The sequence below is a fragment of the Homo sapiens genome, chromosome 5 (assembly GCF_000001405.40).
Source record: "Homo sapiens chromosome 5, GRCh38.p14 Primary Assembly".
NCBI classification, from domain to species: Eukaryota; Metazoa; Chordata; class Mammalia; order Primates; family Hominidae; genus Homo; species Homo sapiens.
In genome coordinates this window covers 61,480,142-61,495,472 of record NC_000005.10, presented here as the reverse complement: position 1 = coordinate 61,495,472, position 15,331 = coordinate 61,480,142, and the positions used below count along the sequence as shown (strand labels likewise).

The 15,331-nt window shown below is 35.9% G+C and overlaps 1 protein-coding gene across 4 annotated transcripts in view; it reads right to left on the bottom strand.

Annotated features, from left to right (window-relative positions):
* The window catches only part of ZSWIM6 (zinc finger SWIM-type containing 6), a 213,915-nt gene that overhangs the window by 50,700 nt on the left and 147,884 nt on the right, over nucleotides 1-15,331 (bottom strand). For 3 of the 4 annotated variants that reach the window (NM_020928.2, XM_047417453.1, XM_024446139.2), the window contains exons 3-4: nucleotides 4,539-4,687; nucleotides 1,063-1,213 (exon numbers count right to left, since the gene is read on the bottom strand). In NM_020928.2, the coding sequence (NP_065979.1) occupies nucleotides 1,063-1,213; nucleotides 4,539-4,687 (300 nt within the window). The remainder of the gene's footprint in view (nucleotides 1-1,062; nucleotides 1,214-4,538; nucleotides 4,688-15,331) is intronic. The other variant, XM_017009677.2, reaches the window with a different exon arrangement.

The following is a 15,331-nucleotide window of genomic DNA, read 5'->3' as shown; positions in this document are numbered from 1 at the left end:
TGTCCACAGCCAACTTCTGAACGTATATCCTATTAATAGGAAAAAGAAAATACTGATATCACATCCTTTACCAACTTGCTGCATAACCCTAGATTACACAGTGTCATGTTGTGGAAGTCTCCTAACCTCTCGGGACTTGTTTCCTTATTTGTAAAACGGCTAATCTCAAATACCCCTTCCAGTCATGGTCATTTGGTATCTTCACGGACAACAGCATCGTTTGGTTTAGACTACACCTGGGATCAATCAGCATGATGTGGTCCATCATTAGCCAAGAAAAATTTCACTAAGACTAGGATCTTCTAGTAAATATAGACAACATTACTTCTCATAAAATTAATACAGGTACTGATATATTTGTCAAAATTTCAGGTGTCACTTATAGATTTCTTAATAAAAAGACAAGATAATAAATACATCATTCATTATTTCCCTAGCGATGAACATTGGGTACCAAGACTCATCCAAATAAAATTCCCAGTATTCTTTTAATGAACATGACTAGTGGATTTCTCATTTTTTTGAACACTTGCTATATTTGTATCTTTAACCACCAGGAATTTAGGAAGCAATAAATATTAGAATTTGCTGTATTTTTCCATTCTGAGGATCGACAGTTCATTTAAATCTATAGCAGCCAAAAATAAAATGAATATCCAACTAATTTTAATAATTCCAGTGTGGGGAGAAGGGGGAAGAAAGACTCTAAATTTTAGCTGAATCAATTACAATATTAATCTAGAAATAAGTAATCAGCTCTACAATATAAAACTGCTATTTAAAAATAATACAGCTTTTTTTTTTCCAAATACTTAAAGGGAGATTCCTGCACTTAACTTTCCTCAAGATCAGGCAATTCCCCCAAAACCCTGCTAAGGTTGTTTTCTGTAAATGCCAGCCCAAGTTCTAAATCCTCCTATGCTTCTAACCTATATATTGGCAACACGTTCCATGCATGAGCAGCTCTCTCTTCAGCAATACTACGACCATGTTCTTGAAACATCTGACTATGGTATTTATCCATATGCAAATCAATGGTAATTTGTGAGGAAACATGCTTACCCAGCTCATCCCAGAGCTGCCTGTATTTGTCAGTCATTGCAGTGCCTTGTTGCCGCCAAAGTGACAGGCGAGGGTCAGCCATGAATTGCTCTGTTATCAAGGTCAACATGCGGGCCCCATTGGAGTCCCTCATCTTTAACATCTCCCGCACCTAATGGGGAAAAACAGACCTTTAGAAAATTGTTCAAAACGAAAACACAACAAAACCCCACAGCAACACAAGAGACAAACCACCACTTTTCTCTGTTTCTCTCTCTCTCTCTCCGTGTGTGTGTGTGTGTGTGTGTGGTGGAGGATAGGCGGGGAGATGTCAAGCCTTCACACCAGCCCTCTTAAGCAAACAAAATATAAAATTTAAAACCACTCCCTACCCTAAATAGCAATTTAATCAAAGAAATGACCATTAATTATTTTGAATTATATGTTAGAATCCATATGAAGAAAAAATGCTCTCAATTACAAAAATGTTCTGGTTGGGTCTTACACACTGATTAAGGTGAGTAAATCGTGTTTCATATGTCCAGTAGAAACTTTTTTTCCAGTTCTCCTTCAAAGTATCTCTCTTATCTAAACCAAGTACACTTTGTGATTCAAGATTACATCCAACAAAGTAGGCATTCATGCTTTGACAAACCACAGAAGTAAAATCTGGCACTGGGAACAGGTATCTGAACCTACCTAGTATACCAAAACAGATTTAAGCAAGGTGCTGCTGTTTCCTTGCATAAAATAAGATGCCATAATTTTAGTAAGATGCCATAAGTTTGCTAGCCTAAAGAAATACAATATCAAAACAAACAGGACAAACAGTTTGGCACCTTCCTGACTCTCCAACTGATTGTACTTACCATCAGAGAAGCACAGCCTAATGCAGAGTCCATTGAGAACTCAAGAAATCTTCTAAGTAGATCTGATAATGTGTATAATAATAACACTTGGCCTTTAGTTTTTTTAGGAACAGCTTTGTTGAGACATAATTCATATACCATACAATTCACCAATTTAAAACGTACAATTCAATGGTTTTTAGTATATTCGCAGTTGTGCAAGTCCTTCAATTTTTGAGATAAATTAGTAATTGCATAAAGGTTCTCTCTCACTTAAGTTTTTTATATAAAGAGCAGCAGCATACTTCTACTCACTCAGATGGGGTTGTTTTTGCAATGGTAAAAGAAAATGGACAGGCCTGTTAGGTTCAAGAACTCTCCTGCTCTATATGGGTGATCCATGAAGCAGAATAATAACCACAGATCTAATAAGTTAACTTTGCCTCTCAAGTTGGAACTTTAAGTTTTGTCCATTACTCTTATGCTACATTTCCCAAATAAAAGAAAGGAAAAAGGAAACACAAGGGTAAGCCTCTCTGCAGCAAGCCCTAAATGAATCCATCCACTTCAAAAATGTATACTGCTATGTATTCAATAAGTAAGAATCTCAGCTGTAATTTCCCCGTAAGAAATTACTGGAGCAAGGTCACAAGCAGTAGAAAAGGTGGGGTGGTTGGTCCTTCTTTCAGGACTCTCTATGTGAAAGGCAAGGAAAGGAGAAAATAGTAGATCTTCAATAAAGCAGCCCAAATCTAGAATAGATCCTGCCTGAGGTCTGCACCCTCAAGAAATGGAAATTCCTCACCTGCTTTAGAATTTGAGCTTTATAAAGAACTCAAAAGCACTTCTACCCTGAATCACAAAGGTTGTGCTTACAAGAGCGTTACTTCAGTATTCCTATAAAGGAGTTTGTTCCCAATATCAAAGTACTAAAAACTCATTAACAGGTGAAGATGGAGGAAGAAAAGGAGTTGCCATTTATTGGATACAATGTTAAAGAGTTTTACATTGATACTTACTATTTAATTTTCACAACAACCATGTAAAATAGGCCAGATTATAATCCCCATTTTATGAATTATAAAACCAAGCCTCAGAGAAGTAAAATAACTCACCCAATGGACAAGGGGAACAGCTTGGATCAGAACCCGTATCTGTCTTAACTTCAAGTTAAGCTAATTCCAAAATTAGAGGTTGCTATTACTTCATATGGCATACATAATGTGTATATAATATATAGGGATAAAAAGAACAACTGCACACCAGGCTAATAATACATCTTTTGAACTGTTTCTAACATAAGAATATATGAAATACTTCCTGTGTGTCTAAATATACTAAACCTTTTACATTATTAGTATTTATGGATTTGATTTAATGTTTATTTTTTCTGGTAGATTTCTAACCTATTACACAGCAACAGCAATGAAAATAAACACTTTACTCTTAAGTATATAAAACAGAACTCTCTATTTAACCAGCACTCATGTACATCTATAGCCTAATGGTAATTAATTTTCAGACTGTTGACACGGAGGCATGACATGAGTTTGAAGTGCCTGTGAATCACCAAAGAATGCTTAAATCATGTGTAAAGTAGTATTAGAGTTAAATGTATTTTATTGTAATCTAATTCTGGGGAAATTTGCAATCTACATATGGTATACAGGAAAAATCTTTATGAACATGGTATTGATTAAGCAGAATACACTATTCCTGGCCATACCCAGTAACAGGATTTACTCTAATTCTTTTGAACTAAAAAAAAAACTTTTAATTATAACAAATATTAGAGAAGATATTCAACAAAAGCATCAATGAACAGCTATCTGTTCCTTTAAAACCAATGTTAATACATTAATCATAATGATGACTATACCCCCAATGAAAATATAATGATTTAATATTATTCAAAAAGCATTTTATCCAGTATTTACAAATGTGTGTATGGTACTGAAACTTCTGTATAAACAAAACACACAGCTTCCGCTCACAAGGAACTTATGACCCAGATAAATTAAATTATTGAGCCATCAATTTTTAATGATGAAGATGAACAGTAGACAGCATCATTTAACACCATTATCACAACAGTTTTAGGAGATATGTTATTATTAGCTAATTTTCTGAATGAGAAAATTAACAAATAATTTGCCAAGGTTTATATACTTAGAAAGATCTAGAACTTGGATTCAAACTGAGATCTATATGACTCTAAAACTCAAGCTTTTGAAATTAACTTACAGATACTGACATTATTAAACTAAATAATTAAAGCACATTTTAGGGATTATAAAACTAAGTTCTCTTGGGAAAATTAACTAGAAAGGGAAAAACTTGAAAAAAATGGCATTTTGAATAACACTGTTAATTATTTTGCTTTTATTATTGTAAGAGGTTTTTCAAAATTGTATAAATTATCACCATTTTATTGATAGGAACTGAGAGAGACAAAAATATCCCATATCTTGTCTAAGATCACCTAAGGAAAAAATAGCTTGCATTACAATACAAAAGTTTCTATTGGTCAGCTAAGACCCTGTTCTTTAATTTTTAAAAGTCTTTATCCTATTGTAGACATGATCATATTCAGATAGTCCCTATATATGTATATATTTAGAATATTTCTTTAGAAATAGACAATCATACCTTTGCAAAGAGCAAATTAAGCTGCTTCCCTGATCCGTGGTACCCGCCCTGGGAAAGGAACAGTTTAACCTGTTCTTGAACCTGCTCTTCATCTAAGTGCCAGCAGTTTTCATCATCTATACTAGCACCTGCTGTTGGATCAGGAGCACCTAGAAATAGAAAGAAAAATAATAACACACAGGCTAGATAAAAACTCTGTGCTAAAAGGATTAATTAAGACTCTTTTTGCCTACTTTTTAATTCAATCTCAATTTCAATTATACATACAAATTTGTGACAAACTAAATACAAGGATCACTCTTATTTCCAGAACTTTCCTGATTTGTGCTAAGTCAAATGCAGATTACTTTAGAATTGAGATATTTCTATTTTTTAGGTTCAGAGACTATTATCTCTGGAGATGAGTTTATAGGTTCTCTAAAAAATCAAATTCACAAAAGTGTTTCATTGTAAATACATGATGTTTATAAAGCTGTGTAGGCCATGCTGGAAAAAATGTCTTTCAAAGACTTTAGAAAAATATGAGACAAGTAAACTTAGCAGAGTATTTCTCTCTTTACTATGTTAATTCAATAAGTTTTCACCATTATCTGCTGCTGTATAAACTACATGCTGACATAAGTCTTTAGTTGCAGAAAACCGAAGATTAAAAAGGGAAATCAAGCCACATGGGAACAGGCAGTGCAGCTGTTGTATTAAACCAGGTTGTAGTATCACCTTGCCAAACTGCATAAATATTTTATTGCTGAAGTACACACAAAGATAGCAGCTAAGTAATAAGCCCTATGTGTGTAGACTACCTTAGAAATTAAAAAACTACCCAGATATTTAGGGAGGTAAAGATTGTTTCATTATTTGCCAATAAAATAAAATGGTATTTTAAGGTCTAAGATTCATAAGTAATACAAAAAAAAATTAGATCTAAAAACTGTTCATCCTCAGTGTTTCATCTGCTTATCAACCCTTAAAAAATACATCTGTAGGTGTGGTTTTGTATTACTTTTCTTGTCTTCTAATGATCTAAAGCAGACTCAATTAACCAAAGAAATAATCACTAACATCTGCTTAGAACCAAGGCCTACTAGTCCCTAGTAGAGGAAGGCAGTGGATCCCTGAGCCTGCCTGAAAAAGTGTATGTTCATTCATTCATTCAGCCAGTCAGCATATTTACTGAGTGCCTGACTCAGTGCCAGCCTCTCTGCTAGACTTGGAGATAGAATAGCGGTACAAACTAGACAGAATTCCTGTCCTCACTGAATCTACAACTTAGTTCAGGGGCTTTCAAATTTTGCTGAACAAGACCCACAATAAGAAATATATTTTACATCATGCCTAATATGCTTATGTGTCTGTGTGTTCATATGATTAATCTGCAAAAATTTGATGCAAGTGTCCTTACTATAAGCAAAGGCTCAATATTTTCTACTCTATTTCATTTTTTAAAGAGGGCTTGTCACAATTTTTAAAACTGATTTTATAAGCTATAACAGGTGGCCACCCACTAATTGAAAAACTCTCCTTTAAGTTTTTGAGATAAATATCAATCTAATAATCATATATATAAATGTATAATAAATGGTAATAACTGCTCAGAGGAAGAGGGCCGGGTGATGGAAGACTCTATCATCAGAGAATTCTGACTGGGCCTTGGATTGCTAGGGTAAGCATACCTTGATGAAATGGCACTGAGCTGAGATCTGCCTTAAGTGGATTAAAAGCTAATTAAAAATGAAGTAAAGGTCAGGAAAGGAGAGAAGGGTCTGCATGTGAGAAGAACTTGAGCATAGCCCTTAGGCAGGAAAAAACATGGTGCATGGAAGAAATAAAAGGCAGTCTATGCAACCCAAGAATAGAAGATGAGAGGAAGAGTAATACAAGATAATCCTGGAGAAAAGAAGCAGGATCAGACTGAGTGCCTTGGTTGGCAAAGAGCTTAGTTTTTTTCCCTGAGAGTAATGAATGGGAATTCATGACAACTTATCCAAAGTGGAAGAAAGAAATACTCTAAACAATAAAAGATGTTTTGTCCTGATATGCATCAATTTCAACATTCCTACCATGAAATATTATGCAGCCATAAAAATGAATGTGGAGACTCTCCATGCATTACAATGGAAAGATATCCAGGACATACTGTTGATTGAAAAAAAAAATCAAGGAGAATAAAAGTATACACAGTGTACCACTTTTCAGGCAATTAATGATGTTTGTGCTAGATAGACTAACCAAGAAAAGGAGAGAGAAGATCCAAATAAATAAAATCAGAAATGAAAACAGAGACATTAAAATTGATATCACAGAAATACAGAAGACGATCAGAGACCTATTATGAACAACTATATGCCCCAAAACTAGAAAACCTAGAAGAAACAGAAAAGCCTGAGCAGACCAGTAATGAGTGGCAACACTGAATCGGTAATAAAGAATCTCCCAGCAAAGAAAAGCCCAGGATCAGATGGATTTACAGCCTAATTCTACCAAACGTAGGAAGAAGAACTAATACTAATTGTCTTGAAACTGTTCCAAAAAATCAGAAGACAGAATCCTCCCTAACTCATTACACAAGGCTAATGTCAGCATGGTACCAAAACTAGACAAGGACACCACACAAAAAGAAAACTAGAGACCAATATCCCTGATGAACACAGACATAGAACTCCTTAAAAAATACTAGCAAACCCAATCCAACAGTATGTCAGAAAGATTATACACCATGATCAAATGGGTTTTACACCAGGGATGCAAGGATTGTTTAACATGCAAATTGAGAAATGTGATACCAGAATAAAGAACAAAAACCATATGATTATCTCAATAGACAGAAAAACCATTTGTAAAATTCAGCATCTCTTCACGATAAAAAACCCTCAGCAAACTAGGCATAAAAGGAATATACCTCACAATAATAAAGGCCATATATGACATACCCACAGCCAACGTCATACTGAATGGGGAAAAGTTGAAAGCATTCTAAGAACTGGAATAAGACAGGAATGCCCATTTTCACCACTCATATTCAACATAATGCTGGAAGTCCTACTCAGAGCAATCAGTCAAGAGAAATAAATAAAAGGCATCCAAATTGGAAAAGAAGAAGTCAAATTATCCCTGTTCACGGATGATACAATCTTCCATCTAGAAAAACCTGAAGACTCCATCAAAAAATGATTCAATTTGATAAACGAATTCAGTAAAGTTGCAGGATGCAAAATCAACATACAAAAAGTAGTGTTTCTATACGCCAATAACAATCTACCTAAGTACCAAATCCTACTTACGGTAAGTACCAAAAAACAAAATAAAATACTTAAGAATAAATTTAACCAAGGAGGTAAAATATTTCTACAAAAAAACTATAAAACAGTGATGAATGAAATTAAAGATGACACAAACAAATGGAAAAACATCCCATACTCATGGATCAGAAGAATATAGGTAAGATGACCCTATTGCCCAAAGCAATCTACAGATTCAACGCAATCTTTATCCAAATATTGACATTTTTCACAGAATTAGACCAAACAATCCTAAAATTCATATGGAACCAAAAAAAGAGGCCAAATAGCCAAAGCAATCCAAATAAATAAAAAGAACAAAGCTGGAAGCATCATATTACCTGGCTGCAAATTATACTACAAGCCTATAGTAACCAAAACAGCCTGGTGCTAGTATAAAAATAGACACATAGACCAATGAAACATAACAGAGAACTCAGAAATAAAGCCACATATTTACAACGAACTGATCATCCGCAAAATTCACAAGAATATACACTAGGGAAAGGATGCCCTTTTCAATAAATGGTGCTGGGAAAATTGTATAGCCACATGCAGAAGACCAAAACTGGACTCCTACGTCTCATCATAAAATGTAAGACCTGTAACTATAAAAATACTAGAAGAAAACCTAGGGAAAATTCTCCTGGACACTGGTCTAGGCAAAGCATTTATGACAAAGACCTCAAAAGCACAGAAACAAAAATAGAGAAATGGGACTTAATTAAACTAAAAAGCTTCTGTACAGCAAAAGAAATAACAGAGTGAAGAGACAACCTGCAGAATGGAAGAAAATATTTGCAAACTATTCACCTGACAAGGAACGAACATCCAGAATTTACAAGGAAATCAAACAAAAAAACCCCACAAATAATCCCATTAAAAAGTGAGCAAAAGACATGAGACATTTTTCAAAAGAAGACATACAAATGGCCAACAGGCACATGAAAAAATGCTCAACATCACTAACCATGAGAGAAATGCAAGTCAAAACCACAATGAGATATCATCTTATACCAGTCAGAATTGCTATTATTAAAAAGACAAAAAATAACAGATGTTGGTGAGGATGTAGAGAAAATAGAGCTCTTATACACAGTTGGTGGGAATATAAATTAGTATAACATCTATGGAAAACAGTATGGAGATTTCTCAAATTACTAAAAATAGAACTACCATTCCATCCAGCAATCCCACTACTGGGTATCTACCCAGAGGAAAAGAAAACATTATATGAAAGACACCTGCACTCCTACGTTATATCACAGCATTTTTCATGATAGCAAAGATATGGAATCAATCTAAGTGTCTATCAGTGAATGATGTGGTACAGATACACAATGAAATACTATTTGGCCATAAAAAAAAGAATGAAATCACATCCATGCAGCACCATAGATGGAACAAGACATCATTATATTAAGTGAAACAAATCAGACACAGAAAGACAAATACCACATATTCTCACTGATAAGTGGCAGCTTATGTACAGAAGGGCATGGAGTGTGTGGAATGATAGACAATGAAGACTTGGAAGAGTTGGAGGGTGGGTGACAAGAAATTACTTAATGGGTACAATGTACATTATCCAGGTGATGGATGCCCTATAGCCCAGACTACACACCACCATGAAATCTATGCATGTAACAAAATTACTCTTGTACCTCAAAATTTATACAAATAAAAAATGATAATAAACAAAATACATATAAATATTGAGGTTTATAAAAGAGCTTACATGTCAGTATATCCTTATGCATGCCTAAAATATTTTGGAAGGACATTTTAAAGAGTACAAGTAACCTAGTTACATGGGGGAAGGAAACATCTTTTAAAATTTTGGAACAATGTGAATATATTTACGTATCTAAAAAAATCACTTTATCTGAAATACGGAGGATGAATTGAGGGGCGAAAATACATAATGCTATTCTGATGGTGTGCACACAGGGTGATGATAGTTGCTTGAAAAACAGCAATGACAGCAGAAATGGAGAAGCTGACAAGATTTCATAAATGCAACAAGAACTTGGTGAGTAAGTGGATATGTGAAGCACGGGAGATGAACGGATGGAGAGAGACATGAGTTTCTGGATTAAACAACCATACGGAATACTGAAAAACTCACTGACACACAGACCACCAGAGAAGGACAAGATTTGGAAATCGGGAGGGGCAGTGTTTAGGTCATGAGCTTAGTTTTAGATATGGTGAATTTGACATACCCTTGAGACAGTGGAGAAGAGGGAAGAGGATTTCAAGGAGGAAGCTGGATATACTATGGGAAGCAGTAAACTGTTTAAGAGCATCTAGGACCAAATCCTAAGGAAGGCCAACATTTAAAGGCTGCATAAGTAAATGAGCAAGGATGTCAAAGGAAATGAGTGGCCTCTTAGGAAGAGTTGGAGAGACCAAGTCTTCCAGAAGAAGGAGAAAGTCATTCCAAGTAGGCACTGGACAAGTATATAGAGGTGAAGCTCCATGAGAGCAAGAATTGTATCTGCCCTGCTCACCATTGCTTCCTAACACCCAGCCACTATCAGGAGATCAAGTACTGCGAGGAAGGGGGAAAAGAGGGAGGGAGAAATGCACATATACATTTTCCCCCCTGGAAAAAGAATTCTTACTTAAAAAGTTAAGAACCACTCTAAAGCATCCTCATAAACATTATCTCATTTTCTCCTCACAATGTCCCCTGGAGGCACGTATAGATCATGATCCCCATTCTACAGGAGAAATAGGTTCCAAGTTGGTTATGACTTGTACACAGCCACACTGCTAAATCCAGTCTCCAGATTCTCTTTTTCTGCCGATGAACATACTCCAGGATCCTAGAGCTGATGTTGAGCCCCGAGGTCATCAGGGCAGGGGCTGTCAACCCTAAAGCAAAGAAATATTTAAGGAAGGGTACTGGTGTGTTTGTAGGCATTTGTTAGCATGCCTCTCTTTTACAGAAAGCTTTAAGGACACACAATGATGCGAAGTTAACTACTAGGTCTATAACTGTATCCCACAGAAATTCAGAGACCCTAATCCATCCCATCTTTTTGATTCTACAGACACATATGCACACACCCCTGCACAAAATACCTATAGATTCTTTACATAAATGTATCAAAAGAGACTTTCCAAACAACTATAGAATCTTGACTTTTATTTTTAAATTCTTCCCAACGTCCTCCTTTGAAATCTGACATATCCCTCCTTATCCTCTTCACAGGGAAAACTCTAATTAGCTACTGACCATCCATTTCCACTGTTCCTTCTGATAAACTGAGCTAAATAATACAGTCTTCCATCTCGAAAAACATCTAGCCTCACAGTGGTTACTTCTCTCAATTTTTGTCATTTTTTTAAGTTGTTCTCTATGATCACCAAAGGCCAAAATCCACAAGGAGATCTGCCCCAGAACTACTTGGATGGGGGTTGTCTGCTGTGGCATGACTGAAGGCATTTCAGCTGCTTGGGTCATATCCACATAAGACTTGGGGGCTTGGTTTGCCACAGAAATAGCCAAATATTTTAAGTAGACCTGAATTTGGTCCAGTCTTCTGTGGCCTGCTTGAACTGGCAAAGGGGTCACCATTCAGATACCCTCCAAAAACTTCAGAATATAATCCACTTATTTTTTTTCATGCTAATAGTGAAAAGTGATAGAAGAATACATAAATTACTCTTAACTTGAATTACACAATGTATATTTTTCCTTAAAATTGGATAGGTTTTAAATACACTATTTATATATATATTTATTTTATTTTATTTATTTATTTATTTATTTTTGAGACAGAGTCTCGCTCTGTTGCCCAGGCTGGAGTGCAGTGGTGCGATCTCGGCTCACTGCAAGCTCTGCCTCCTGGGTTCATGCTATTCTCCTGCCTCAGCCTCCCAAGTAGCTGGGACTACAGGCAGCCGCCACCACGCCCGGCTAATTTTTTTTTTTTTTTGTATTTTTAGTAGAGACGGGGTTTCATCCTGTTAGCTAGGATGGTCTCAGTCTCCTGACCTTGTGATCTGCCCACCTCGGCCTCCCAAAGTGCTGGGATTACAGGTGTGAGCCACCATACCCAGACACTATTATATATTTTTAAAATATGACAGATTTTAAAATTGCTTTAATGGACAATTTACATATATACATACATAGATACAGATTTTGGTTCAAGTGGAGAAAAATCTAATAGCAAATGTATAAATACATCAATTATGTTTTCTCAAGTTTTAAGAAAATTTGAATACTTGTTCCCTCCAAAACTCATGTTGAAATTTAAACCCCATTGTGGCAGTATTGAAAGGTGGGGCCTTTTAAGAGGTGAATGGACCATGAGGGCTCTGCCCTGGTGAATGTATTAATCCATTCTTGGATTAATGTATTAATGGATTAATGGGTTATCATGGGAGGGAACTGGTGTCTTTATAAGAAGAGGAAGAGATACCTAAGCTAGCGTGTTAGCATGCTCAGCTCCCTTACCACGCAACGCCCTGTGCCCACAGAGTCCCCACCAGCAAGAAGGCTCCCACAAGATGCAGCCTCTCAACCTTGGACTTCTCAGTCTCAAGAACTATAAGAAATAACTTCCTTTTCTTTATAAATTACTCAATTTCTGGTATTCTGTTATAAGCAACAGAAAAATGAATGGATACATTAAGTTGGGGTTTTTATTTTTATTTTTTTGGGGTAAGCTAGTATTAGAATTAACTTACTTCTTGATAGTACTGGGCAAGAGGGAAATGCACTGGAGAAAAAAAAAAATGGCCCAAAGTCTACATACCAGTTGAGAGGATGGATTAGAATTCAGAAGATTTCAGTTCTAGGCACTGTCTGGAAAAACTATGCATTTTCCAGCAAATAACTTAAGCTCTTCGGGCCTCCATTTCCTTAACTCTAAAATTCTATAATGTAAGAAAAAAAATTAACTGAGCAATAAAAATTAGAAATCTGCTCATGTGATACAGAAATCTTCCTGACTTACTCATAAGACTGCAAGCAAAGATAACTAGTAGATAGATAAAACATAAATTCACTCTATATACAACTCAACATTTTAGGAATAAGACATGTACCCTATACATCATAGACCAGGAAATTTAATGTCTACAACAATAATTTCCCCCAAAAGTGCAAATTCATGTATTTAACTGTAATGCTAAGTTTTAACTATTTATTTATTTTTACTGTAAGTTCTGGAATACATGTGCAGAACATGCACATAGGTATACACATGCCATGGTGGTGTGCTGCACCCATCAACCCGTCATCTACATTAGGTGTTTCTCCTAATGCTATCCCTCCCCTAACCCCCCACGCTCCCCAACAGGCCCCGGTGTGTGATGTTCCCCTCCCCGTGTCCATGTGTTCTCATTGTTCAACTCCCACTTACGAGTGAGAACATGCAGTATTTGGTTTTCTATTCTTATAGTTTTAACTATTTAAATCCTAACATGTCTTGATTACATGCATTACAATGTTGCCTAAGCCTTATATAAAATGTAAGATTTGCAAAATTTATGTCTACTTGTTAACGGCTGTCTATAATCAAAGACAAACCTCTCAACATTTAGCTTTGAGAAGGGAATGCAAAAAGAAACATAACTCATGTATTTATACATTTGCTGTTAGATATTCCCACCGTTGGGCAGGAACCAGAATCTGAATGTATGTAAATTAAATGGTCCATTAAAATGTTTTAAAGTCTATCATGTTTTTACTCTTATTTATAATAGTAAATGCTATAATATTTACAACTGTATAATTAATCTTTGTGGGCATTTTATTACTGAAGTTTAATTCTTCAGGCCTTCAGGGAAAGTCAAATTATCTGTTGGAAAAAGAAGTAGAACAATTTGGTCTCTCATTCCCAGAGATGGATGTGTGAATTTGATTTACCCGCCTACCTTGGTAATGTAATGTCACAGGCAGAAAGCAAAGGAGAATTCATGGACATGAAGGACCACTATCTAAGTCTTTGGCGTCCCCTGTCTACTGCTTGATTTGGTTCTGATTTAGTTGTGATTTATCCCAACATCAAACTTGCTTGCCCCAGTAGTTCTCAAAAGTAAGGGCATATCAAAATGCCAGAGATATTGTAAAAAACAGATGCTGAGATACCACTTCAGACCCACTGAATCAGAATCTTTGCTGGGGATAAAAATGGTGGGAGCGGTAGAATTCTGTTTGGAGAGAATGTTAAGCAGGGTGGCACATTCTAGATCTTAATAATTAAAAGTATTCATGATCCTGAGGCATCAGACAGACACCTCTCCAGTGTATCTAATAAAGCATATATACGCCATACCGAATGAGGTATCTGTCTCACACCATGGATACAGTTACTTATAGGTGTTAGATATCACCATATCATTATGCAGATTTTAAACTGGGCTATGAAGACACGTTTATAATTGGCTTATGCTGTGTCTGGTGCATGGAGCTATTCACAGCTTTGACTTCTAATTGAAGACTTAGTGCTTTATTTTATTTTATTTTGCTGGAAAACAAATTCAAAACAAGAAAGAGTGAAGGTCTTTTGTTTACAAAGTTAACATCTTCATCTTAACTGTGACCCAACTGCCACAGTAACACCGTTTTCCAAATAATGCTTTTAAATTTATATTTATGTAGCAGTGTCCCTTTTTGTTAAAATTGATTTCTCAAATTCAACCTATTCAGGCAGAATTTAGGCAGCAGATGTCTACACTGCAGAGGTGATTAATTCAGCCACTTTTGGGGACCTAGAGAAGGCCATCTCCTACAGTTTTAGTGTTTGCTGTTAAAGCTAGGAAACATTAAATCGGTGGCTTACAAAGGCCTTGGTCGACCTGTCTTACGGGCAAAATCCTGACATCAACCATTGGCACTGAGAGGGAAAAGGCAAGACAACAAACTTTAGCGACTCAGACTCAAAAAAATGTCTTTCTTTACAGCAGAGAGGAGAGAACTAGAAGACCTCTGAAAAATGATGTACACTCAATAAACATACTTTTTAGAAAAGATTTAAGTTTTATCCTGAATTAAAGTCTCCTTTCAAAGGGGTAAGTAATGCCTTTATTTCAATTTACAATTTTGTTGTAGTTGAAACAGCCAGATCTTTAGTCACCTTCCATCCTCTATGGTCACTCCACATAATTCTACTGCCATAATATAGTGTGGTGTCCTCTCCAGGAGCTGTCAGAGGACAAGCCATTTTCCTCACCGTGGAGGCTAATGACAGAGGAAAGGCTGATGTGCACCGGGTTCTGCTCCCCCAACAAACCACCTTCCTTTTAGCTAAATGCCAAGGAAGTAAATAAGCAGCACTGCCATCAGCATATATCTCAGGGAACTCAAATAGACCTGTCAGGGTTTATGGCCCCTCCTCTATTATTTTCCTCTCTTCTGACTTTATTATTCATCTCATTATTTAATTTACTTCAGCAGTTCAATAGTATACGTATTCATGTACAGAAATAATCATGTATTTTATATGGAAAAAAGCAATAAAGTATTTGTACATTCTCCAATGCTCATTAAAAAATGCA